We start from the raw sequence: 25,595 nt of genomic DNA on the forward strand, positions 1-25,595 counted from the left end.
TTTGAGATGGAGTCTCGCTCTGTCACCCAGGCTGGAGTGCAGTGGCGCGATCTGGGCTCACTGCGACCTCCACCTCCCGCGTTCAAGTGATTCTCCCACCTCAGCCTCCTGAGTAGCTGGGATTACAGATGTGCACCACCACATCTAACTAATTTTTGTATTTTTAGTAGAGACGGGGTTTCACCATGTTGGCCAGGCTGGTCTCGAACTCCTGACCTCAAGTAATCCTCCCACCTTGGCCTCCCAAAGTGCTGGGATTACAGGCGTGAGCACGGCACCCGGTCCCTTTCACTTTACACTTTCCATTACTGTCATTTTGCTCTACTTCCTGGAGATTTCTTCAACTCTATTTCCAACCCTTATATTGAGTTTCTCACTTCTGCTATCATATGTTTCGTTTTTCAAGGCTTTAACATTGCTCTCTGGAATTTTTTTCCCCCTTTTATTCCTGAGGCATGCTGTTCTTGCTTTATGGATGTAATGTCTTCTCTAATATCTCTGAGAATATTAATGCAGAATGTACATTTCCTCTGATTTGTTATTGTTGTTTTCATCTCTGCTTACCGTGTTACCTTTATTTCTCTAATATCTGCTGATTATTGGTTTTCTCCTTATATAGAAGAGTCAGGCCCTAGAAAACTGATTGGCAGTAGTAGGCATTGAGTGGGGCTTGTGCACAGTTTCAGTGTCATAGTGAGTGGTCATTTCCTTTAGAACCTCCTTCTCCACTCTGCTCAATGTCAATGTCAATGTGTTTATTATTTTCTCTTGAGGTGTCTGCCAATCTCCTGCCTGCAGGTATACTCTGGCTGCTGGCATTCTAGATCCTTCCTAGAGAAGAAGAGCAGTGCCTACATATTCAGTATATAAACTTCTCTGTAATCATTCTGCTTTTCGGATGATAATCTGACTCCTAACTGCCTGGTGCTCCCCAGTCTAGAGACACTCTATTATCTATCATCTGCTGGTGTGGGAGAAGGGCAGCACCATCCGGGTTGAGTTGAGGAAGGGATCTAGGGTTCAGCCACTTCTTTCTTTAAAGTAATTTTTTTAAATTGTGATTTTAAAAAACAAAACTTACCATTTAACCATTTTTAAGCGTATGTCAGTAGCATTAAGTACATTCATAATGTTGTATACCCATTGCCACTATCTACTTCAGACCTTTTTTTTTTTGAGATGGAGTCTCCTTCTGTTGCCCAGGCTGGAGTGCAGTGGTGCAATCTCGGCTCACTGCAAGACACTCCATCTCCCAGATTCAAGCAGTTCTCCTGCCTCAGTCTCCTAAGTAGCTGGAATTACAGGCACCCACCACCATGCCCGGCTAATTTTTGTATTTTTAGTAGAGACAGGGTTTCACCATGTTGGCCAGGCTGGTCTCGAACTCCTGACCTCAAGTGATCCACCCACCTTGGCATCCCAAAATGCTGGGATTATAGGCATGAGCCACCGCCCCCAGTACTTTTTTTTTTTTTTGTAAGACAGGATCTCTAATGCCAGGTGTGGTGGCTTGTGCCTGTAATCCCAGCAGTTTAGGAGGCTGAGTCGGGCGGATTAAGAGGTCAGGAGTTCGAGACCAGCCTGGCCAACAAGGTGAAACCCCGTCTCTATTAAAAATACAAAAATTAGCCGGGTGTGGTGGCAGGCGCCTGTAATCCTGGCTACTCAGGAGGCTGAGGCAGGAGAATTGCTTGAACCTGGGAGGGGGAGGCTGCAGTGAGCCAAGATCACGCCACTGCATTCCAGCCTGGTGACAGAGCAAGACTCCATCTCAAAAAAAAAAAATTCTTGGCTGGGCACGGTGGCTCACACCTGTAATCCCAGCACTTTGGGAGGCCAAGGCAAGAGGGTTGCTTGAGAGACCAGCCTGAGACCCTTGTCTCTACAGAAAAATTTAAAAATTAGCCTGGCATGGTGGCTCACACCTGTAGTCCCAGCTACTCGGGAGGCTGAGGTGGAAGGATTACCTGAACCCAGGCGACTGAGTCTGCAGTGAGCCATGATCGCACTACTACACTCTAGCCTGGGTGACAGAGTGAGATCCTGTCTCAAAAAAAATTAAAAACAAAACCAACATTCTTAGCTCACAAGCTGCACAAACACTAGCAGTGGGCTAGATTTGGCCATGAGCCAACCCCTCTACCCTAGACTATTGGCAAAGATCAAGAAGTATGATAGCAGAGGAAAAACAGACACTTGAACTCCTCTTGGTGGGATGTCACTGGCACAACAAGGAGTGGGAGTAGACAGTGGTTGGCATGGCTCAATGCAGTGGGAACGGTGCCCCCTCCCTCACCAAGTCCAGAACAGTGGCAAGACCTCAGTGGGGAGCAAGTACAGAGTGCACCCAGTGAGGCTGAACCCTAAGAATTAGGCACCAGTCAGCTCGGCGTGGTGGCTCACTTCTGTAATCCCAGCACTTTGGGAGGCTGAGGCGAGCAGATCATGAGGTCAGGAGATCGAGACAATCCTGGCCAACATGGTGAAACCCCATCTCTACTAAAAATACAAAACTTAGCTGGGTGTTGTTGTGCGTGCCTGTAGTCCCCACTACTAGGGAGGCTGAGGCAGGAGAATTGCTTGAACCCAGGAGGTGGAGGTTGCAGTGAGCTGAGATCGTGCCTCTGCACTCCAGCCTGGCAACAGAGCGAGACTCCATCTCAAAAAAATAAATAAAGGCCGGGCACGGTGGCTCGCCTGTAATCCCAGCACTTTGGGAGGCTGAGGCGGGCAGATCACGAGGTCAGGAGATTGAGACCATCCTGGCTGACACGGTGAAACCTTGTCTCTACTAAAAATACAAAAAATTAGCCAGGCGTGTTGGGGGGCGCCTGTAGTCCCAGCTACTCAGGAGGCTGAGGTAGGAGAATGGTGTAAGTAAACCCGGGAGGCGGAGCTTGCAGTGAGCCTAGATGGCACCACTGCACTCCAGCCTGGGCGACAGAGTGAGACTCTGTCTCAAAAAAATAAAAATAAAAATAAAAATAAATAAATAAATAAATAAGAAAAAGAATTAGGCACCAGTCTTGACTAATGTCCTTGAGTCCTATCTCAGCTGCCCCTTCTAGGGCCTTGTGAGTGTGGGCAGTGACAGACCCTCAGTGGTGGGCCAAAAGGGACACAAAGCCAAAGCTCTGCTCCAAGCAAGACCTGGGTCATTTCTCAGCCAGAGGAGGGGAGGGGACCCCAACGGGGTCATGCACAGCATAACGACGATTTGGTCAACAGTGGACTGCATATATGACAGTGGTCGCATAAGATCATAATACTGTATTTTTACTGAACCTTCTCTATGTTTAGATATGTTTACATGAACAGATATTAGCTGTTGTGGTACAACTGCCTACAGTATTCAGCACAGTAACATGCTGTGCAGGTTTGTAGCCTAGGCGTGTAGTAGGCTATACCATCTGGGGTTGTGTAAGTACAGTCTGTGATGTTCACACAATGATAAAATAGGACTTACTTCTCAGAACATATTACCATTGTTAAGTGCTGCATGACTGTAATTACTTGGCAGAAGGGAATTCAGATTCAGATTGATGTTTCTTGCACAAAGGTGGTATTTGGAAGAGAAATTTTTTTTTTTTTGAGATGGAGTCTTGCTCTGTCTTCCAGGCATGGGAGAGTGCAGTGGAGTGATCTTGGCTCACTGCAACCTCCTCCTCTCAGGTTCAAGCGATTCTCCTGCCTCAGCCTCCCAAGTACCTAGGACTCCAGGCACACGCCACCACTCCCAGCTAATTTTTTTTTTGAGACAGAGTCTTGCTCTGTCACCCAGGCTGGAGTGCAGTGGCACGATCACGGCTCACTGCAAGTTCCACCTCCTGGATTCACCCCATTCTCCTGCCTCAGCCTCCCAAGTAGCTGGGACTACAGGCACCTGCCACTACACCCGGCTAATTTTTTTTTTTTTTTTTTTTTTTTTGAGACAGAGTCTCGCTCTGTCACCCAGGCTGGAGTGCAGTGGTGCAATCTCGGCTCACTGCAAGCTCTGCCTCCCTGGTTCACGCCATTCTCCTGCCTCAGCCTCCCGGGTTTTTTTTTTTTTTTTTTTTTGTATTTTTAGTAGAGACAGGGTTTCATCATGTTAGCCAGGATGGTCTCGATCTCCTGACCTCATGATCTGCCCGCCTTGGCCTCCCAAAGTGCTGGGATTACAGGCGTGAGCCACCGCGCCTGGCCACTTCTGGCTAATTTTTTTTGTATTTTTAGTAGAGTCAGGGTTTCACCATGTTGGCCAGGCTGGTCTCGAACTCCTGACCTCAAATGATCCACCTGCCTTGGCCTCCCAAAGTGCTGGAATTACAGGTGTGAGCAACTGCGCCTGATGTGTTTGTTTGTTTGTTTGTTTGTTTTGTTTGTTTTTGAGACCAGGGTCTCGCTCTGTCACCCAGACTGGAGTGCAATGGTGCAATCTCGGCTCACTGCAGCCTCTGCCTCCCGGGTTCAAGCAATTCTCATTCCTCAGCCACCCAAGTAGCTGGGATTATAGGCACATGCCACCATGCCTGGCTGATTTTTGTGTTATTAGTATTAATTTTTTTGGAGAGGGAGTCTTGCTCTGTTGCCCAGGCTGGTGTGATCTCGGCTCACTGCAACCTCCACCTCCTGGGTTCAAGCAATCCTCCTGCCTCAGCCTCCTGAGTAGCTGGGACTACAGGTGCACGCCACCACTCCCAGCTAATTTTTTGTATTTTTTTTTAGCAGAGACAGGGTTTCACCGTGTTGCCCAGGCTGGTCTCAAACTCCTGAGCTTAGGCAATTTGCCAGCCTCGGCCTCCCAAAGTGCTAGGATTACAAGCATGAGCCACCACGCCAGGCCGTGATTTTTGTATTTTTAGCAGAGACAGGTTTTTGCCATGTTGGCCAGGCTGGTCTTGAACTCCTGGCCTCCAGCGATCCACCTGCCTTGGCCTCCCAAAGTGCTGGGACTACAGGCATGAGTAACTGTGCCTGGTCCTGGGGCAAAAATTTATACCCACATTGCAAGGTTTTTTTTTAAAAAACAATTGTAGTTATGCAGACTTTCTGAACTAATCTGGAGGGGGTCCACCTGCCCAGAGCTCTCCATCTCACTCTCAGGCGATGGGGGAGGCAAAGTTAGAACCCTGCTGTGAGGGCGACGGTGTACGCAGCCCTGGGGTAGTAAGCTCTCTGGTGAAGCCTCAGTGATGGGATAGGAAGGTGGCTTTTGTGAATGTATCTTTGAAGTCATTCTGTCATCATTTTGACAAGTAAAAAGAGGCAAGATGTTTTGCCAGAGGTGCAGGAACCTGAAGCTGGCCTGCTGTTGAACCTCTGTGCAGGAGGGAGTCAGGCAGATGACAGGAATGACAGGACAGGCTGGTGGCCAGCCGTGAACCCCAGGGAGGAGAAGGAAGGGAGATCAGGTGAGGCTGAGGCTCTCTATGTTGCCCAGGCTAGTCTCGAACTCCGGGGCTCAAGCAATCCTTCCACCTCAGCATCCCTAAATGCTGGGATTACAGGCATGAGTCCCCACACCCGGCCTATCACCTTTAAAATTATTTTATGTTATGTTATTATGTTGTTATGTTGCCCAGCCTGGGAAACATAGGAAGATCCCATCTCTACAGAATATTTAAAAATTAACCAGGAGTGGGCCAGGCGCGGTGGCTCACGCCTGTAATCCCAGCACTTTAGGAGGCTGAGGCGGGCGGATCACAAGGTCAGGAGATCGAGACCATCCTGGCTAACACGATGAAACCCCGTCTCTACTAAAAATACAAAAAATTAGCCGGGCGTGGTGGCGGGCGCCTGTAGTCCCAGCTACTTGGGAGGCTGAGGCAGGAGAATGGCGTGAACCCGGGAGGCAGAGCTTGCAGTGAGCCAAGATCACGCCACTGCACTCCAGCCTGGGCGATAGAGTGAAACTCCGTCTCAAAAAAAAAAAAAAAAAAAAAAATTAACCAGGAGTGGTGACATGCACCTGTTGGCCCAGCTACTCGGGAGGCTGAGGTGGGAGGATCCCTTGAGCCCAGGAGTTCAAGGCTGCAAGGAGCTATGGTCATGCCACTGCACTTCAGCCTGGGCAACAGAGTGAGATGCTGTCTCAAAAAAACAAACAAAAAAAGAAGTTTAAAAATAATTTAAAAAGAAAAGACTCGGCCAGGCGTGGTGGCTCACGCCTGTAATCCCAGCACTTTGGGAGGCCCAGGTGGGCGGATCACGAGGTCAAGCGATTGAGACCATCCTGGCCAACATGGTGAAACCCCATCTCTACTAAAAATACAAAAATTATCCGGGTGTGTTGGAGCACGCCTTTAGTCCCAGCTACTTGGGAGGCTGAGACGGGAGAATCACCTGAACCCAGGAGGTGGAGGTTGCAGTGAGCCAAGATCGCCCTACTGCAGTCCAGCCTGGCGACAGAGCGAGACTCCATCTCAAAAAAAAAAAAAAAAGGCTGAGTATGGTAGCGCGGTGTCTCAAGCCTGTAATCCCAGCACTTAGGTAGGCTGAGGCGGGGAGATCATGAGGTCAGGAGTTCAAGACCAGCCCGACCAACATGGTGAAATACTGTCTCTACTAAAAATACAAAAATTAGCTGGGTATTGTGGCACACGCTTGTAATCTCAGCTACTCAGGAGGAGTAGCCTCATTTGAACCCAAGAGGCGGAGCTTGCAGTGAGCCGAGATTGTGCCACTGCACTCCAGCCTGGGTGACAGAGCAAGACTCCGGCTCAAAAAAAAAAAAAAGAGAGTGAAAAGACAAGACAATCCACAGGATGGGAAAAAATATTTGCAAATCAAACAACTCAGTGCAAAAGTGGGTAAAGAGCCAAGTGTGGTAGTACACACCTGTAGTCCTAGCTACTTGGGAGGCTGAGGTGGGAGGATTGCTTGAGCCCAGGAGTTTGAGACCAGCCTGGGCAATATAGCAAGACCCCATTTCTACAAAAAAAAACTGTGTAAAATAAATATTTATCCAAATAATATACTCAAATGGGCTGGGCACTGTGGCTCACACCTGTAATCCCAGCACTTTGCAGGGGCTGAAGCAGGTGGAGCTCTTGAGCCTCAGAATGGGAGATGAGCCTAGGCAACATAGCGAGACCATGTCTTACAAAAAAATACAAAAATTAGCCAGGTGTGGTGGTACATGCCTGTGATCCCAGCTACTTTGGAGGCTAAGATGGGAGGATTGCTTGAGTCCAAGAGGTTGAGGCTGCAGTGAGCCATGATCATGTCACTGCACTGCAGCCTGAGTGACAGAGCAAGACCCTGTCTCAAAAAAAAAAATCATTAAAATTAAAAAATAAAATTAGCCAGGTATGGTGGCACGAGCCTGTGGTCCTAGCTACTTGGAAGGCTGAGGCGGGAGGATCGCTTGAGCTCAGGAGTTGGAGGTTACAGTGAACTGTGATTGCACCATTGCACACCAGACCAAGACGCTGACTCAAAAAAAAAATTGTTTTTAATTGAAAGACAGTAAATGCACGCCCCCTTGTGGGTGCATGTTTACGCTTGCTCTCCTTTTGGGACTTCCTGGGAACTTCTCACTTGGTCTTCTCAGTTCACGGGGGTTATAGCCCTACAGCTCTGTTCTTGCTCCGATCTATTGATTAGTTCCTTTCTCAGGAAACCAACCATCAGGCCTCCCAGGTAGTATCAAGGAACTGAAACTTTACAGATCACTGCATCTGGACAATATGTTACCAGACCCCATACCCATCATAACTGCCTAATCATGCTGGGTGCAGTGGCTCACACCTGTAATCCTAGCACTTTGGGAGACTGAGGCAGGCGGATCACCTGAGGTCAGGAGTTTGAGACCAGCCTGGCCAACATGGCAAAACCCCATCTCTCCTAAAAGTACAAAAATTAGCCAGGCATGGTGGCATGCCTGTAATCCCAGCTACTTGAGAGGCTGAGGCACAAGAATCACTTGAACCCAGGAGGCAGAGGTTTCAGTGAGCCAAGATCGCGCCACTGCACTGCAGCCTGGGTGACAGAGTAAGAATGTGTCTCTAAATAAATAAATAAATAACTGCCTAACCAGCCACCTGCTTCCTATTGACCAACTCCTCTTCCTTGCCCTTCCCTAATTCCTGTTTTCCCATACAAGATCACATTTCTAGCCTGCTATATAAACCCTTAAAATCTTTTTTTTTTTTTTGAGACAGAGTTTCGCTCTTGTTGCCCAGGCTACAGTGCAGTGGCATGATCTTGGCTCACTGCAACCTCTGCTTCCCAGGTTCAGGCAATTCTCCCACCTCAGCCTCCTGAGTAGCTGGGATTACAGGCACCTGCCACCATGTCTGGCTAATTTTTTGTATTTTTAGTAGAGATGGGGTTTCATCATGCTGGCCAGGCTGGTCTCGAACCCCTGACCTCAGGGGATCTGCCCACCTCGGCCTCCCAAAGTGCTGGGATTACAGGCGTGAGCCACTGCGCCCGGCCTTTTTTTTTTTTTTTTTTTTTTTTTTTTTTTTTGATACAAAGTCTGGCTCTGTCACTGAGGCTGGAGTGCAGTGGCACGATCTTGGCTCACTGCAACCTCTGCCTCCTGGGTTCAGTGATTCTCCTGCATCAGCCTCCTGAGTAGCTGGGATTATCAGCACACACCATCACGCCTGGTTGATTTTTGTATTTTTAGTACAGACGGGGTTTTGCCATGTTGGCCAGGCTGGTCTCAAACTCCTGAGCTCGTGATCTGCCCCCCCTCCGCCTCCCAAAGTGCTGGGATTACAGGCATGAGCCACCACACCTGGCCTAAACCCCTAATTTCGTTCAGTCAAAGAGACGGATTTGAGACTGATCTCTCATCTCAGCTGCAATACATGAATAAAGCCTTCTTTCCTGGCAATACTCGTTTCAGTGATTGGCTTTCTGTGTGGCGAGCAGCAGGACCTAGACCAAACCCCTAGGTCATTTCAGTCACAGCATAAACACTGACTATGTTCAGGCTATGGACTCTATAATTTTCATTTGAGCTTTTAGATTATTACAAATTAGGAATTGTACTTGTGTGTATGTGTGATTTCTGGGTAGCTAGAAAGGGTGAGAAGGGTTGGCATTTTGAAAGTACATTAGAAATAAACCTATGGCTTTCTAGATTTCCAGTGAGAGCCAGTTGTTGTCATTATGTGGAAACTTAGCAAGGAAACACAGGTGATTTTGTAAGGTTTGGAGGTTGGGGGCCTTGGAAGCTCTACAAAGGCCCTGGGGTGAGCCCCTAGGAGTACAGGGCCGTGGTGTAATGAGGGCTACCTAAATTAAAGGAAAAACTAACAACTCCATTGCCTCTTACAATTCAACAAATCTGGAGTTTTAGATAAGTAAATTCAGAGACAAGAGGGGGCAGGCGGAGTGAAAAATGATGTCACCTGCCACTCTCAGATTTCCTGCAAGAAATTCCAGTGGAGAAGTGAATCCTGGATCAGTAAATGAGTCACTGGCTTTCTAAGCCAAGAAAGATGAAAAGCAGATTCCAGGAACTAAGGAAGGATGAATCTTGGGGAAAGTGTTTAGTTTTAGTGTGAAACTGTCAAGCCGCTTGCTCCGGTGGAAACTCAGGGAGAAAAACAACAGTGAGAAAGACTAGCGAAATAGCAAGGAACCAGACGGCTTGCCTGAGAGAGTCTGTGCCTCCGGGCAATTTATTAATAGAAGACTGAGATGCACCTACTCAGCAAAAAAAAAAAAAAAAACAACCAAAAAACAAAAAACTGGGCAGCTCCAGAGAGGAAGACAATATCCCAGTGCCCAAGGCCCCCTGCCATTCATAATCCAACAGAGAGTCATTGAGCATCCATCCAGTTCCTATGGAAGGCAGTGCACATGGATTGGTGAATGAGGCACCACCATCCCTGGCCCCACAGAGCTCACAGCCATTGAGCAAGTCATTGCACTTGTGTTAAGTGAGAAGGAGGAAGGTTTGGGATGGGGGTCCTGGAAGGCTTCTCCAACACCTACGGGAGGATCGTTCAGATATAAAGTTCAAGCTGAGGCTGGGCACGGTGGCTTATATCTGTAATCCCAACACTCTGGGAGGTTGAGGCGGGAGGATTGCTTGAGCGCAGTAGTTCAAGACTAGCCTGGGCAAAATAGTGAGACCTTGTCTTTACAAAAAAATTTAAAAAAAGAAATTAGCTGGGCATGCTGGCACACACTTATAGTCCTAGCTACTCAGGAAGCTGAGGCAAGATCACGTGAACCCAGGAGTTAAAAGTTGCAGTGAGCCATGATCATGACACTGCACTCCAGCCTGGGTGAAAGAGTGAGACCTTTACTCAAATAATAAGGCCGGGCACAGTGGCTCATGGCTGTAATCTCAACACTTTGGGAGGCCAAGGCGGGTGGATTGCTTAAGCTCAGGAGTTCAAGATCAGCCTGGGCAACATGGTGAAACCTCGTTTGTGTATATATATTGCTTGGGTTCCTGGGTTCAAGCGACTCTCCTGCCTCAACCTCCCTAGTAGCTGGGGTTATAGGCATGCATCACCATGCCCAACTAATTTTTGTATTTTTAGTAGAGTTGATGGGGTTTCGCCGTGTTGGCCAGGCTGGTCTCAAACTCCTGATCTCAGGTGATCCGCCAGCCTCAGCCTTCCAAAGTGCTGGGATTACAGGCATGAGCCACCACACCCACCCGTCTGTATATATTTAAAAATTTTTTAATTAAAAATAATAATAATTAATTAATTAAGGTCAGGCTGAATTTTTGACAGAGGCCTGGGCTAGAGAGAACAGGGCTGCTCCGGAGACCTGAAAAGAGAAGCTGTTTGGGGAGCAGAGGTACAAGAAAAGTCTAGATGAGTTCTTTCTATTCTATTTTAGGTTATTTGTTTGATTAGCAAATTTGGTGGGGCAGAGACGGGCCATCTCCCAAGTGACAGGCAGGCTTGTTTGGCACTTTTTGTTTATTTACAAAGCAATTCAATTTCTTGGTGTTCAGGAGCTCCCTGAGAAACGGGCCCAGGCCCACCTCTGGCACAGGCAGAGGGCACAGCATTAGCAAAGGCCCAAGGGAGGGACCCCACAGAGCAGCCTCCGAGAAGAGCCAGGAGTCCCTCGGGCTGGGGAAGTGAGAGGGCATTGAGGCCTGAAGGAAGACTGGGCTGATCTTCAGACTTCAGTCTATTGGGGGGCAGGGTGAGTCCTGGAGAGACGGTGCCCCACGCAGCCAAGGCAGGGTGAGGGAGGTCACACCTCAGCACATTCTCTTCTGTGTGACGTTGGAGATCATTAACCTGTGGACCCTAACAGCTGCCACCACCACCTTCAGGAATTCAGGTCCTCCCTGCCTGGCACGTTGGCCAGCACTCCCACGGCCCAGCCCTGTTGAAGAAGGAGGCAGTTCATTAGATGTGCTGACATTGGCTCTCTTGGCTTCCTGGGACAGCCCTCACCAGCATCCTGGGCTCTCAAGAGCCTGGGCTGGTGGCTGCCATCCCCCCAGGACAGGAGCCCACCAAGTCCCTTCTGGTTGAGGACCCTTGGGCCCTCAAGGATCCCAACTCTGCTCATGATGGCATCTGGGGGAGCGCGGGAGCCCTGGAGGGGAAGGTAAGAGTCCTGGGTCCCAGCCCAGCCTGGCCACTGGCTCACTGTGGCGACCCTCAAGCATGGCCTTGCTCCCTCTGGAACTCAGTGACCTCTGAGATCTGGGACCTCTGAGTCTGGGAATTGGGCAGGGTGACAGAGTCAGGTGACTCAACCTGCACCCGGTCTTGGGGTGTGGAACCCTGAGCAGAGCAGGTGGCGCTCTTGGAAGGGGAGGCAGACAAGGGCAGAGAAGGGGGCTGCACAGGGCTTTGTAAGAGAGAAGGAGAGGTTCCGGACCCAGCCTGCGGTCCAGGAAACTGTCTCAAAGGAAGTGGGTCTCGGCTGAGACCTCAAGGGTGAGCAGCAGTTAGGCGAAGGAAAGAGGAAAAGGCATTCAACTGTACGGCCCAGGCCAGGCGCAGTGGCTCATGCCTGTAATCCCAGTAATTTGGGAGGCTGAGGTGGGTGGATCACCTGAGGTCAGGAGTTTGAGACCAGCCTGGACAACACGATGAAACCCGGCCTCTACTAAAAATGCACTACTACGCGTGCTGATGCACATTTGTAGTGCCAGCTACTTGGGAGTCTGAGGCATGAGAATTGCTTGAACCTGGGAGGCGGAGGTTGCAGTGAGTGGAGATTGTGCCACTGCACTCCAGCCTGGGCAACAGAGAAAGACTCTGTTTCAAAAAAAAAAAAAAAACACTTCAGGGCCCACCCTGTGCAAAGATGGAGAGGTAGGGAAGGCAGGGTGTATCCAGGGACACAAAGAAGTTCAGTCCAGCTGGAACTACGCCCTCCTAAGGAGGAACTGGCCAGGGGTGAGGGGCCAGTGGGGAAGTGAGGAGAGACAGGTCCCACGGGCAGAGGTCATCCAGCTGCTGCGTGGACAATGAACAAGGACACCGAGTGATGTGTATCCTTGGCAAGTGATAGTCTAGCCAAGGGCAGGAAAGTGGGCATAGGGAAGAGGGGACTCACTTGGTGGCTGGAGGGTGTCAGGGAAGAGGTCTGGGGAAAGATTACATGGGGACCCAGGAGGGAGGGCAGTTCTGAAGGGAGGAGATGGGGCTGACTTTACACAATGGATTTGGAGGTGTCCGAAGGTCATCCTAAGTGGGGGAAGTGGAGCAAGAGATGTGGGGGATGAGACTCAAGTCATCACTGTGGGAACAAAAAGGAGGCTCTGGCCAGTGCGGTGGCTCACGCCTGTAATCCCAGCACTGTGGGAGGCCGAGGCAGATGGATCACCTGAGGTCAGGAGCTTGAGACCAGCCTGGCCAACATGGTGAAACCCTGTCTCTACTAAAAATACAAAAATTAGCCGGGTGTGGTGGCGGGCACCTGTAATCCCAGCTACTCGGGAGGCTGAGGCAGAAGAATTGCTTGAACCTGGGAGGCAGAGGTTGCAGTGAGCCGAGATGGCGCCATTGAACTCCAGCCTGGGTCACAAGAGCAAAACTCCGTCTCAAAAAAAAAAAAAAAAAAAAAAAAGACTCTGAGGGCCGAGTGCAGTGGCTCATGCCTGTGATCCCAGCACTTTGGGAGGCTGAGGTTAGCAGATCACTTGAGCTCAGGAGTTCAAGACCAGCCTGGACAACATGGTGAAACCCTGTCTGTACCAAAAATACAAAAAAATTTAGCCGGGCATGGTTGTGTGTGCCTGTGGTCCCAGCTACTCAGGACGCTGAGGTGGGAGGATCACTTGAGCCTGGGAGGCAGAAGTTGCAGTGAGCTGAGATCGCGCCACTGCACTCCAACCTGGTGACAGTGAGACCCCATCTCAAAAAAAAAAAAGAAAAGAAAAGGAAGGAAGGAAGGGATGGAAAAGAGAGAAGAGAAGATAAGAGAAGAGAAGAGAAGAGAAGAGAAAAAAGAAAAGAGGCCCTGAAGTTGTACCCTGGAGAGAAGTATCAAGAATGAGGTGTGGCTAGGTGCTGTGGGTCACGCCTGTAATCCTAGCACTTTGGGAGGCCGAGGCAGGCAGATCATTAGGTCAAGAGTTTGAGAGCAGACTGACCAACATGGTGAAACCCCGTCTCTACTAAAAATACAAAAATTAGCTGGGCATGGGGTGTGCACCTGTAATCCCAGCTACTCAGGAGGCTGAGGCAGGAGAATCGCTTAAACCTAGGAAGCAGAGGTGGCAGTGAGCCGAGATAGTGCCACTGCACTACAGCCTAGGCGACAGAGTGAGACTCCATCTCAAAAAAAAAGAAAAAAAAAAATGAGGTAAGGGGGTTGAGCTCCTGGAGGAGCTCACTGAGGGGCATGAAGGGAGATAGCCAGAGAAGCAGCTAGAAATCCTTCTCTTGGATCACAGAAGCCAAAGGACGCTTCAGAAGATGGGGAGGACCAGCTGTGCCCAACACACCTGGAAAGGTCAAAGGAGGAGAGGACTGAGAAGTGGAGGGACAGGGAGCATTTCTCCCTCTTGAAGAGGCTTTGGCATATGGAGGGGGTTTTAATGGTAGTGGTGGGGTTCCCAGGATCCGTGATCAGGTCTGAGTGTCAGCAGAGCTGTCACACAGAACCGAACAGGTTGTGCACTGCACTCTACAGTGACTGTTCTTGAATCCAGGACTGGCCGCCAGGGGCACCCCCTTGAGCTGGCGGTATTTTGCCAAGTCCGTAACTGCAGTGTAGACACTTCCCAGACGGTGGCGCCAAAGACCAACTTTACTTCTTAGGAGCAGAGTCGGGTTCCGCCTGGGGATTCTCAGCCCCAGGTCGTCATCCGATGGGACGGGGGAATTTCCAGATGCCTGGTGGCCGGGTCTCTCCTACCACCACACCCTCCAAATCTCTGTCAGAGCAGTTCACCTAGCGTTAGCAACTCACAGAAATAAACTATGCACCACACACTGCAGCCTTCCTTTGTCAGGGGGCCTGGGCTGAAAGGGTCCCAGGGGAGCAGTTCATCCCATGAGCTGGGAGAGGCGAAGACGTCCCTCCCACTTGTCCCTTAGGAGAAAGGAGTCAGGAAGGAAGGAAGGACGCCCAGCCCAGACCGCGAGACACACAGTCAATCGCCCCACCCCTTGCCCAAACCAGCAGAGCACCGCCCAGCTCACAGCTCCCCCTGGAGGCCGAGGCTGGACTAGCGGGGACAATGACAGCGACACTGGCCAGCCTCAGGCGGTGTCCCCAGGGAAGCGATTGCCAAGCCTAGAAATTTACACCTCCTCAGTGCAGAGGCCAGCCTGGAGATGGCCCAATAAGTAATGGCCATGTTGCTTTTGAAAACGATGCCATGTTGATTGCAAACCATTATTTGTATGAATAAATACAAAGAAGAAAATAAACCAAATGAAAGTACAACGCCCAGAGATGACGGGCATTGTGGCTCTCAGGACCGATGGATGCAGGTCTCACCTGAGGAGATTCCTGCTATGCAGGCTGTTCTGGAACTTTCTCCACTCCACCATGTTTTTTGTTGTTGTTGTTGTTGTTTGAGACAGAGTCTCGCTCTGTCGCCAGGCTGGAGTGCAGTGGTGCGATCTCAGCTCACTGCAACCTCTGCCTCCCGGATTCAAGCGATTCTTCTGCCTCAGCCTCCCGAGTAGCTGAGACTACAGGCGTGTGCCACCACGCCCAGATTTTTTTTTTTTTTTTTTTTTTTTTTTTTGAGACAGAGTCTTGCTCTGTTCCCCAGGCTGGAGTGCAGTGGCGCGATCTCGGCTCACTGAAACCTCCGCCTCCCAGGTTCCAGCAATTCTCCTGCCTCAGCCTCCCGAGTAGCTGGGATTACAGGCACACATCACCATGCCTGGCTTATTTTGTATTTTTAGTAGAGACGGGGTATCCCCATATTGGCCAGGCTGGTCTCGAACTCCTGACCTCAGGTGATCCACCTGCCTCAGCCTCCCAAAGTGCTGAGATCACAGGCGTGAGCCACCGCGCCTGGCCAATTTTTGTATTTTTAGTAGAGACGGGGTTTCACCATATTGGCCAGGATGGTCTCGATCTCTTGACCTCATGATCTGCCCGCCTCAGCCACCCAAAGTGTTGGGATTACAGGCATGAGCCACTGCATCCGGCCTCCACCATGCTTATTATATTGAGTGCCTTTCCATGTTCAGATATAAAACCCTCACTCCCTACCCCGCCCTCACCCCACTCACCTCTCAGACCTCACCTCCTGACCTCTCCTCTAGCCCACATGGCTCAACTACCACTAGCTCATTCTCACCTCCCAGCCCCCCAACCCCCCGCCTTTGCTGTTCCCTCTGCCTGGGACACTCTTCCTCTGGGTTGTTCAGTGACTGTTTCTTTCCTGTCACTCAAGTCTCAGCTCCAATGTCACTGCCTCAAAGAGGCCTTCCCTGACCAACCTGACGAAAGCAGCCCCTCAGCCCCACCACTCCAAACCACATTACCTGGTTTGGCTTCTTCACAGCTCTCCTCTCTCCCTCTCTCTGAAATCATCTTGTTTATATGTTAACTCATTTATTGTCAGTCTCCTTTGGCAGAGTGTAAACTTGAGAGCAGGGGCCTTGCTGAACTGGTCTGTCACTGTGTCCCCAGCATCCAGAATGATGCCAGGCGCATAGCACATGCTCAATCCATGCCTGCCATCCATTTGCAGTGGCTATGGAACATCTCAGGCCTATGTGCACCTCCTTTACCCTCCATCTCCCACTGCGGGACTATGTCATCCCTCTGTCCCTGATTAAACAAGCCAGTACTTTGGGAGGCCGAGGCAGGTGGATCACCTGAGGTCAGGAGTTCGAGACCAGCCTGGCCAACATGGTGAAACCCTGTCTCTACTAAAAATACAAAAATTAGCCGGGCATGGTGGCGCGTGCCTGTAACCCCAGCTACTCGGGAGGCTGAGGCATGAGAATCGCTTGAACCCGGGAGGCAGAGGTTGCAGTGAGCCGAGATCGCGCCACTGCACTCCAGCCTAGTGACAGAGCAAGACTCCATAAAAAAAAAAAAAAAAAAAAAAAAAAAACAGTAGTCAACATCTTTTGGCACAGATGTTTTCCTGCATGAACAGCTATTTCTTTGGGGTAAATTTGCTGAAATTTGGTGAAAGGGAGGTTTGCACTTGCCATCCTGATAAATTCTGAAAAAACTACCCTTAAACTTTTTTTTTTTTTTGAGACAGGGTCTCGCTCTGTTGCCCAGGCTGGAGTGCAGTGGCACAATCACGGCTCACTGCAGCCTCAACCTACTGGGCTCAAGCGATTCTCCCACCTCAGTCTCTTGAGCTGGGATTACAGGCATGCGCCACCATGGCGTGCTCATTTTTGTGTTTTTAGTAGAGACTGGGTTTTACTATATTGCCCAGTCTGGTCTCTAACTCCTGGGCTGAAGCCATCCTCCCACCTTGCCTCCCGAAGTGCTGAAATTACGGGTGTGAGCCACTACCACACCCAGCCTACCCTTAAACATTTAAACCAATTCCTACTCTCTTGAGTGTCCCCTCACACATCATGTTCATCACTGCCCATCTCAGAGGCAAACAAAAAAAAATAGTGTCTCCTGTTGTTTGTGTTTGCATTGTGTTGATTATTAATGAGATGCGGCACTTCTTCAAATAGCAATTTTAACGATTAAACGGATGGGTGCACTTAAAGCATCAGAAAGGAGAAATGGCTCTAGGAGAAGCCTGATGACAGTGGTAAAGCCAGGACTTGAATGTGGAGCAGCATCCCTGGCTCTTGTCTTTTGACACACACAAAGGAAAGTAGAGTCCAGGCTGGGGCTGGAGGGGTGTGGAGGCTGGTGGTGGGTCAAGTATACCCGCAAGCCTCATACCTACCTCCTCCAAGCCTGCCTTTGCCCCACCATGCACTGAAGTGCTCCAACAGGCCGTGGTGCTTTGGGCCTTTCCTTACTTGATCTCTTGGTGACCCAGTTGACCACTGTTCCCCCCAGAAGATGTCTCCAGCTCAGACCCCTCTCTCTTCTCCCTGCCTGTCCAGCTGCCTTCTGGACACTTCCTCCTTGGTGGTCCCTAGATCCCTCAGATGCCACCTGCCCAAACTGACCATATTACCTTTCCCTTAACCAGATCCTTCAGGCCTCCCCACCTCATTAAAAAACACCATTATCCCACTATCCACCCATCACCCAGGCCCAAAGCCCCTGCCTCATCTGGGATGTCTCCCTCTCTCCAGACTCCACATCCCTTCAGTCACCAAGCTCTGCATTCTGCCTCCTGAACATCTCTTAAATGTCTCCTCTCCATCCCCACGGCCCCTACCCTGGCCCAGGCCACCATCCACTGGGCTGGAAATTGCACCAGCCTCCTTGAGGCCTCCTGCCTCCCCTCATACACACACACAGTGCCTGAGTGACGTTTGCAAAGCACAGATATGACCACAAAATCCCCCAGCCTAAAGCCCAGGCTCCCCATCACCCCAAGGGTAAAATCCTTGCTCCCCAGCCGGCCCCAAGGCCCCGCACGCAATTCTCCAGCTTTTGCTCTGGTTCAGCAAAAGAGGCTGCTCCTTTCTCCTGTGGCTTAAACTCTTGCTCCCCCAGCCTCAGCTGCTCCTTCCAGGACCTACCCACTGTCTGCCTAGGGAGCCCCAACAAAGAGCCACGCTAAGGGCCCCTTCTCTGCAAAGCCCTTCCTAACTAGCACACATGTGCACACAGACACAGTCCCACACACTCACATACACACACACCCTCAGCATTTGGGGACTTGGGAGGTGCAGAGACTTGGACATACCTGTTCTCTTTGACTGTGAGCCCTGTGGGAAGGAACTAGGGAGATCTCACCTCTGGTCACCCCAGGGTGGCCCGGGCACAGCCGACATTCCACAAATGCTTGCTGTATATCTGGCAAATGAATGAATGATGTGGCCCCAGGCACAGTCCAGGGCAAGCTTCTATTCTATCTGTTCACAGAAAGCTGGGATGGGGGTGGGGGTTGCATGGCAGAGAGTTGTCATCCGCGGGGGCTGTAGGGTGGGGTGAGGGAAGCCGCGGTTTTTCTGGGGTTTCGGACTTGAACTGCATTACTTCTGAAATGGAACTAGCAGTGCCGTGTGTGAGGACTGGGGGTTCATTGCGGCTCTCACCACCCTCTGCTGTCTGTCCCAGGGATTTTTCTCAGGCCTGAGTCCACCCCTCTGAGAATGTGATCTCCCAGTGGTTAGAAGTGCTCATAATTCCTTTCTACACACACCACAGCTACCAGCTGAGTCCCAGGCAGAGGACAGGGCTCAGGAAATGATGCCTGATTCAAACAGGGCCGAGCTGACCACGACCCAGGGAGCCAAGTTGGAGCTCAGAGTCTGCCCTTCCCAACGATGTGACAGTTTCTATGGGAAGTTCTTGCCTTCCCTGAGCTTCAGGTGTCTCCTCTTTGAAGTGGGTTTCAAGCTGTGTCCTCCCCTGTGCTTAGCTCACCAATTGTTAGGGAGAGGCTTTGAAAGCCACCAGGACCCTGTGACCCTCGGAGGGATGCTGCCCTTCCCTCGAGGCCCCTTGGATGTGGGGGAAGAGCCAGGTGAACTCCCAGGTGTTCCATTTAATCACTGCAGCGCCATCTGTGCCTGGTCTGGTGGTCACAGGCCTGGCCATGGACAAGGACAATAGGCAGTAATGGGTGCTCAGAGGACACAGGTTCCCTGGAGGAAGGGACATCTGAGCTGTTTTCCAAGTGGATGAGGGGGAGAAGCATCCTAGGCAGAAGGGAGGCTGGGAAAAAAGGCAGAGGCCAGAGGGTGGAGGCTGCATCCAGGGAGCTGCAGGCTGGGAGTGTAGTGGAAGCCAGATCACAGGGGCCGCAGAATAAGTGCAAGATAAGGAGGTGAGGTCATCTGAGGCCAGATCTCCTGGGCCTTGGAGGCCCTACCACATAGTATGGACTATCTTCTGGAGTGGGTGGGCATGGTAGGGGGAGGGAATTAATTCAAAAGATGTTAAGGAGAAAGAAGCAAGAGGACTGGGCAGCTAAAGGAAGGTGAGGGCAGGAGAGGGGGATGCCAAGGGCTCATGCATTTACACGTTCAGTTACTTGCTCATTCAACAAATATTTCTTGAACTCCCACTATGAGCCAGGCACCTTGATGATAAGGACTTCTGTGGTTCCTACCCGCACACTACTTAGAGACAACACAGTCAGGCAGGGTCAGGCCCATGAGCACACATGGTGTGCACACTGCTGCCTGGCCATGGTGAGCAGTATGAAAGGAGTCAATAGGAGGCTGGAACAGAGGGTGTCTGCAGAGAAAGTACTCAGAAGATGCCTGGCTGAGAGGTGACTTTAGGGGTGGGCAGAGGCCAATTGGTGCCAGCTTTGAGAACTCCAGAAAACCCCAGTCTCTAGCTCAGGTGGATGCCTGGGTAGACAGTGGTGCTTTGTAGGGATGGGGACAATGCTGAGGACTGGTGAGTCAACCAGAAAGCAGCCAGGGGCTCTGAAACAGGAGAGGGCTCTGGGCACAGAGGGAAGTTTGGGATGGTCAGCAGTGAATGGATGGGAGCCCTGAGACTGGATGATATTTTAGGGTAGGGTGAATAAAGAGAAGAACTCAGCCCCTGGAAGTCATGCCCAGGTTTAAGGACTTCAGAGAAAAGGGCACTGACCGGCCCAGTGGCTCATGCCTGTAATCCCAGCACTTTGAGAGGCCAAGGTGGGTGGATCGCTTGAGGCCAGGAGGTGGAGGCCAGCCTGGCCAACATGGTGAAACCCCATCTCTACCAAAAATATAAAAATTAGCCGGGACATCTCTACCAAAAATATAGAAATTAGAAGGCGGAGGTTGCAGTGAGCCGAGATCACGCCACTATACTCCAGCCTGGGCAACAGAGGGAGACTCCGTCCCCCAAAAAAAAACAAAAAAGAAAGAAAGAAAAGGGCACTACAAAGGAAGCCCAAGAGGAGGGGCTGGAGAGTGGAGAACTGTGAGGCAGAGGTGGCTCAAGCCTGTAATCCCAGTACTTTGGGAGGCCAAGGTGGGAGGATCGCTTGAGCCCAGTTAGAGACCAGTCTGAGCAACATGAAGAAAGCCCATCTCTAAAAAACCGACCAAACAGGCTGGGCGCGGTGGCTCATGCCTGTAATCCCAGCACTTTGGGAGGCCAAGGCGGGCAGATCACGAGGTCAGGAGATCGAGACCATCCTGGCTAACATGGTGAAACCCCATCTCTACCAAAAATACAAAAAATTAGCCGGGCGTGGTGTGGGCGCCTGTAGTCCCAGCTACTCGGGAGGCTGAGGCAGGAGAATGGCATGAACCTGGGAGGTGGAGCTTGCACTGCATTCCAGCCTGGGCGACAGTGACACTCTGTCTCAAAAAAAAAAAAAAAAAACCCGACCAAACAAAACCAAGCAAACAAGCAAAACACACAAAAAAACAGCCCTCAGGACTGGTGGGGGCGGGGTACAGATATTCAGGGACCTCTTACTGTCCCTGAAACCATTCCTGGGTAGGTCTGACATACATGAGGGCTGCGGGAGTGCAAGGCCTGGAGAAGCCTCAGGGGTGTCCAGGTTGGAAGGGCCAGGGGTGTCTGATTGATGGGAGGAGCGGGGGAGTGGAACTGGCCCTTTGACCCCAACATGGGGTCGACTCTCAGCCCCACCTTTACCGACTGTGTGGAGGGCCAGCATTCTAGCCCCGGCTTTGGAAAGGACTGGGTTGCCCAACACATGGCCCTGTACCCGGACCCTGCCAGCGTCCCCACCCCAAGACTGCCCGAAAACCAGTACCCAATGAGTGGGGAATGCATGACCCGGCTATGAGCCTGGACTTACCAGCCAGACAGTGGCAGAAAGGGCGGCCTGCCTCTACAGCGACGCTGAGGCTGGCTGAAATGGCAGGGCTGAAGGGCAGCGTCTGGACCCAGAAGGTGCCAGGCGGCTTCTGGACTCCCCAAGGCCTTCACAACAGCCCTGGATCCTTTCCACCAACCAGCCTAAGCCAGCAGTAGCAGCTCCAGGACCTGTTTCAGGTGGTCACGGACAGGGGGCCCGCAAGGTCTCCAGAGCCCGAGGGATCTGGGGAGGGGACAAGCAGGCGGGGCTCCCTGGCGCTCACCGTTTTAGGGTCTGCGTGAGAAAGCCTCCCTCACATCCCCCAGGGTCTGCCCTCCCTGCAAGCTGGTGGGCTGCGTGGGCCACCGGCCTGCCCCGTTATCCGAGAGGGCGGAGCGAGCCGTGGGCGCCTCTAGGGGTGCGGGAGCCGCGGGAGCGCAGGGGGTGGGGCCCGGCGGGCCAGGGGAGGGGCGGCGGGGCGGCGGGCGGAGGGAGGGGCCGGCGCCTGCGGCGGCGACAGCGGCAGCTGCGGCGCGACCAGGCCGGGCACCTCCGAGCGCAAGGACAGCGCGAGGTCCGCGCAGCCCAGCGCAGCCATGTGAGTGTCCCGCGCCGTTTCCGGGGCTGCAGGCCGGGCGGGGAGCAGGCGCGGAGGTTCTGGTGCCCCCCCGCCGGCGCCGCCCGGTGGGTCCGGGATCTGCGGCTCTGTCCCGCCTCACCCCATCTCCCGGACCCCGGCCGCGCCTTGTCTTTCCTCCCCTCCCCCCGGGCGTGGAGAACGCAGCTTCTCCCACAAAAGCCGCCGCCTCCGGGCCTGCAGAGCCTGGCGCTGCTGCCTTCCTCCCACGGCAAGGCCCTGGCGGCCGGTGCCCCGGGGCGCTGGGATGGGCCAGGCCAGAGAGCGGGCTCAAGGCGCCAGCCTGGGCCCTGGCACGCGCGCTCCCTGGGAGCCCTTGCTGCCTTCGCCGCAGGGGAGGCTGGGCTGGAAATGGGGAGGGGGCGACGAAGGGTGCGGGCCGGCCTAGGAGCTGAGCTAATCCTCCTAGCTCTAGGGGCCGGCCTAAGCGGCTTTGTGGCCGGCCCCGAGGTGACCGAGCCTGGGCTGGAGCCGGGCTCTCCGCCCAAACCTGGCGTAGCCGAAGCCGGAGAGGATCGTCCTTGTCGGGGAACGGAGCTTTTCCCTGGAAATGGAGGTTGGCGCAAGGTTCCTGCAACAGCCGGGCCTGGGCTCTCTGCAGAACTGGTTTGGGCAAGGGGCTGCTCACCAGGGCTAGAGGTCGGATTCAGTCCAGATTCAGCACCCTTTGTCCTCCTCTCCAGGGTGAGCCCTGAGTCCGGCCTCCCCTACAGACCCTCCCCAGCCAGTTCTAACGTGTGTCCAGGCTGGCCGCCCCAGCACCTACTGTGCGCAGCCTCGTGTAACAATACTTGTGCCCTGGCTGCAGTCTGCGGGGCCGCGCCCTGGGCCTGCCGCATTCGGCCAACGCACAGCATCTGAGGAGGGTTATGACCATCTGGCAGATGCAGAAACAGGCCCAGAGAGGTTAGTAGTATTCTCAAGGTCACACAGCTGGTTTGGGAGAAGCGAGGATTAGATCTGAGTCCTTGCCCCTGCGACACCCACCTCCGTGGTATTGGAGGGAGGAGAGGAATGATAATTGGGGGCTGAGGTACAAAATACTCCAGCGGGACAAGGAGGACTGGCATAGCTCCTTCTTCCACCGCCCTCTCCGGCTTGGGTCCTGTGACTGCGGCGGGAGAGAGGAGCAAGGTGAGCCGCCCCAGGGGTCTGGGTTTGGGTGCGGGTGAGGGGAGGACTCAGGACTCTGGGCTGGGTCCCGCTTGAGAGAAGCGGGCGGGGAGGGCGCGGGTGAGTCACGGCGGCCCCTCTGCGTCGCCGCTCGGACTCAGCCCTGGCCAGGCCCGGCCCGGGGGAGGCCGCCTGGCTCCCAGCGCGCGGCCAGGGAATGTAACCAGCTGACCAGGGAGGGGGCCGGCAGGAAGTGAGGCCACCCGACAGCCTCCGCCCGGTTCCGGGGTGGGGGGTCCGGGGCTGTGCCGCTCCCCCTCCCTCCTATACGCTTGGGCAGCTGCGAGATGACGTCAGCCGCCGGGTTTGGGGGCAGTTGCCATGGAGACAAGGACAGGCTCAGAAGGGACCCCCTTCTCCCTTGCAGCCGCCCCTTGCCCAGGTTATTTTTAGCCTCTGTTTACCTCGGTCGGGGCGGCCCCGGGGTGGGGCGGGGCTAGACCCGGGGACTCCCAGAGAGGCAGCTGGCCTGGCACAGTGCTGAGATGGGCAGCCCAGGTGGTGGGATATTCCGCCGCACCCGGGTGTGCCAGTCTTGGTGTGTAGGAAGTATAGCGGGGCTGCAAGATCTGGGGCCATGCGGACAGGTCAGGGCTCCTCCACTCACGGCCATCCTGACCTGGCTGTGCTGCAAGCCCCATAACCTTTGGAACCTTGGATCTGGGTTATTTCCCATCCTGGGAACAGACTATAGGGCTGACATGAGCCCAGAGAGTCCCCTGGTTCTTATCAGCCAGTCCCCCACCAGTTGAGGTGGCCCTTCTGCCTTAGCTCAAGGGGTTCAGCTCTTTCCCTACCTGCTCTCACCCAGCAAGGGCAATCTTGCCCGCCCATCTCCCGAAGCGGTCACTCAGATGGACATTATGATGGTCATTTGTACCAACAGTTAGACATCCTAGTTCCTATGGGACTCGGGGGATGGTGGCAGCAGAGGGCCAACCAGAGAGAGAAAAGTGATGGAACAGTCAGCGGTTTCCAAGTCCAGAATCCCAGGGGATCCCCACCCTGCACCATCCCAGGGAGCAGAGCCCCACTTGCTGATGGTATACGATACCATCAGCCAGTGGGAAGGGAGAGGGAGGATTGCATGTCGGGTAGGGGAGTTGGGGTGGACATAGACTTAAAATCCTCCCCACCAACAAACAGCTCAGGACCTGCTGTTCCTGTGTCTAGGCAGCCCAGCTTCCCCCACTGTTCCCCCCCTTCATCTCCCAGGTGCTACAGGACCCCCAGAGCGCTGTGGTGAGCCAAGCAGATATGCCCCAGGTCTCACAAGGTTCAGTCTGGTGGGAAGACAGGCCCTAAAGGAGAACTGACAACTGGGTTATGTGGTCTCGGGGTTCAGAGGGAGGAAGTCAAAAAGGGGGAACCAACCCAGGGCCTGCTTCCTGGAGGAAGAAGTCATAGGGTAGACTTGAGGAAGGAGAGGGACTTGGGGCTGAGTAGTGGGAAGAAGGAATAGGAGCGATGGGGGCTGCCGGTCAGATTCTGAAGAACCTTGCAGGTATTGAGAGAGGGTCTCAGTTGCTGGAACAGAGAAAGCAGGGGACTGGGAGGAGAGGAGTGGTTGAAAGAATGTGAGGGACAGGACAAATCCTGAAGGGCCTACGTGGGTCATGTTAGAGAGTCTGGGCTTTCTCCCTGGGACAAGAGTGGCTGTGGCTATTTCACATCAGTCTGAATAGAGTGATATTAAAGATTTAGAGTCCTGGGGTCAGACAGCCTGGGTTTGAATCATGGTCTTGACACTTACCACCTGTGTGACTGTTTTGTTTTGTTTTTTGAGACAGAGTCTCGCTCTGTCGCCCAGGCTGGAGTGTAGTGGTGAGATCTTGGCTCACTGCAAGCTCCACCTCCCGGGCTCATGCCATTCTCCCACCTCAGCCTACTGAGTAGCTGGGACTACAGGCGCCAGCCACCACGCCCAGCTAATTTTTTTTTTTTTTGTATATTTAGTAGATATGGGGTTTCACCGTGTTAGCCAGGATGGTCTTGATCTCCTGACCTCATGATCCGCCCTCCTCAGCCTCCCAAAGTGCTGGGATTACAGGCGTGAGCCACCGCACCCGGCCGTGTGACTGTTAAAAATAATAGCAGTTAGTATTTGTTGTGTGTTCACAGTTAGATGTTAGCTAGGCATGGTGGTGCATGCCTGTGGTTCCAGCTACTTAAGAGGCTAAGGCAGTAAGATTGCTTGAGCCCAGGAGTTCAAGGCTGCAGTGAGCTATGAACGCACCACTGCACTGAAACTGATCGCTTGAGCCCAGGAGTTCAAGGCTGCAGTGAGCTATGAACACACCACTGCACTGAGACCTGGGTGACAGCGTGAGACCTCGTCTTAAAAAAAAAAAAATTAGGTATAGTGAGTCCACCTCAACGTCCCTACCCCACATACAATTCTCCCTTCCCCAAACACTTCCTATAGAGGGACATCCTCATGAGAGGAGATCTCATTTCATCCTCCCAGCAGCCTTGGGAAATAGCTGTTGTTATTATTATTATTGTCCTCTTTTTACAGATGGGTGTCTGAAGCCCAAAAGGCTGAATAAGTGT

General features: G+C 52.6%; 1 protein-coding gene and 1 long non-coding RNA gene across 19 annotated transcripts in view, besides 10 other annotated features; one reads left to right on the plus strand and one right to left on the minus strand.

Moving 5' to 3' along the window:
• Positions 7,248–7,435: a silencer, noted in NCBI's record as "fragment chr16:67548235-67548422 (GRCh37/hg19 assembly coordinates)". NCBI's record gives its function as "represses an EF-1alpha promoter that drives an FKBP-Casp9 reporter gene in an ReSE screen in K562 erythroleukemia cells {active_cell/tissue: K562}" and the evidence as "EXISTENCE:reporter gene assay evidence [ECO:0000049][PMID:32094911]".
• Positions 7,568–7,737: a silencer, noted in NCBI's record as "silent region_7607". NCBI's record gives its function as "represses an Ori minimal core promoter by ATAC-STARR-seq in GM12878 lymphoblastoid cells {active_cell/tissue: GM12878}" and the evidence as "EXISTENCE:reporter gene assay evidence [ECO:0000049][PMID:35858748]".
• On the minus strand, positions 10,622–21,661 carry LOC100505942 (uncharacterized). Its single transcript, NR_104656.1, has 2 exons — positions 21,233–21,661; positions 10,622–11,301 (listed from the first exon to the last, which is right to left on the minus strand). It is a non-coding gene; the product is annotated as an uncharacterized LOC100505942 (long non-coding RNA).
• Positions 11,058–11,227: an enhancer, noted in NCBI's record as "active region_10969". NCBI's record gives its function as "activates an Ori minimal core promoter by ATAC-STARR-seq in GM12878 lymphoblastoid cells {active_cell/tissue: GM12878}" and the evidence as "EXISTENCE:reporter gene assay evidence [ECO:0000049][PMID:35858748]".
• The window catches only part of RIPOR1 (RHO family interacting cell polarization regulator 1), a 28,418-nt gene continuing 14,107 nt past the window's right edge, over positions 11,285–25,595 (plus strand). For 7 of the 18 annotated variants that reach the window (XM_047434616.1, XM_047434618.1, XM_047434620.1 and 4 more), the window contains exon 1: positions 22,305–22,775. In XM_047434616.1, the coding sequence (XP_047290572.1) occupies positions 22,739–22,775 (37 nt within the window). In that variant the 5' untranslated portion in view covers positions 22,305–22,738. Of the gene's footprint in view, positions 11,530–21,744; positions 23,004–23,516; positions 24,547–25,595 lie in introns of those variants that run through there. The other 11 variants (XM_047434626.1, NM_001193522.2, XM_047434629.1 and 8 more) reach the window with 4 other exon arrangements.
• Positions 11,358–11,447: an enhancer, noted in NCBI's record as "active region_10970". NCBI's record gives its function as "activates an Ori minimal core promoter by ATAC-STARR-seq in GM12878 lymphoblastoid cells {active_cell/tissue: GM12878}" and the evidence as "EXISTENCE:reporter gene assay evidence [ECO:0000049][PMID:35858748]".
• Positions 11,458–11,507: an enhancer, noted in NCBI's record as "active region_10971". NCBI's record gives its function as "activates an Ori minimal core promoter by ATAC-STARR-seq in GM12878 lymphoblastoid cells {active_cell/tissue: GM12878}" and the evidence as "EXISTENCE:reporter gene assay evidence [ECO:0000049][PMID:35858748]".
• Positions 11,768–11,827: an enhancer, noted in NCBI's record as "active region_10972". NCBI's record gives its function as "activates an Ori minimal core promoter by ATAC-STARR-seq in GM12878 lymphoblastoid cells {active_cell/tissue: GM12878}" and the evidence as "EXISTENCE:reporter gene assay evidence [ECO:0000049][PMID:35858748]".
• Positions 14,247–14,506: an enhancer, noted in NCBI's record as "active region_10973". NCBI's record gives its function as "activates an Ori minimal core promoter by ATAC-STARR-seq in GM12878 lymphoblastoid cells {active_cell/tissue: GM12878}" and the evidence as "EXISTENCE:reporter gene assay evidence [ECO:0000049][PMID:35858748]".
• Positions 21,702–21,811: a silencer, noted in NCBI's record as "silent region_7608". NCBI's record gives its function as "represses an Ori minimal core promoter by ATAC-STARR-seq in GM12878 lymphoblastoid cells {active_cell/tissue: GM12878}" and the evidence as "EXISTENCE:reporter gene assay evidence [ECO:0000049][PMID:35858748]".
• Positions 21,842–22,071: a silencer, noted in NCBI's record as "silent region_7609". NCBI's record gives its function as "represses an Ori minimal core promoter by ATAC-STARR-seq in GM12878 lymphoblastoid cells {active_cell/tissue: GM12878}" and the evidence as "EXISTENCE:reporter gene assay evidence [ECO:0000049][PMID:35858748]".
• Positions 23,072–23,351: a silencer, noted in NCBI's record as "silent region_7610". NCBI's record gives its function as "represses an Ori minimal core promoter by ATAC-STARR-seq in GM12878 lymphoblastoid cells {active_cell/tissue: GM12878}" and the evidence as "EXISTENCE:reporter gene assay evidence [ECO:0000049][PMID:35858748]".

Source organism: Homo sapiens, chromosome 16 (genome assembly GCF_000001405.40).
Source record: "Homo sapiens chromosome 16, GRCh38.p14 Primary Assembly".
Lineage (NCBI taxonomy): Eukaryota > Metazoa > Chordata > Mammalia > Primates > Hominidae > Homo > Homo sapiens.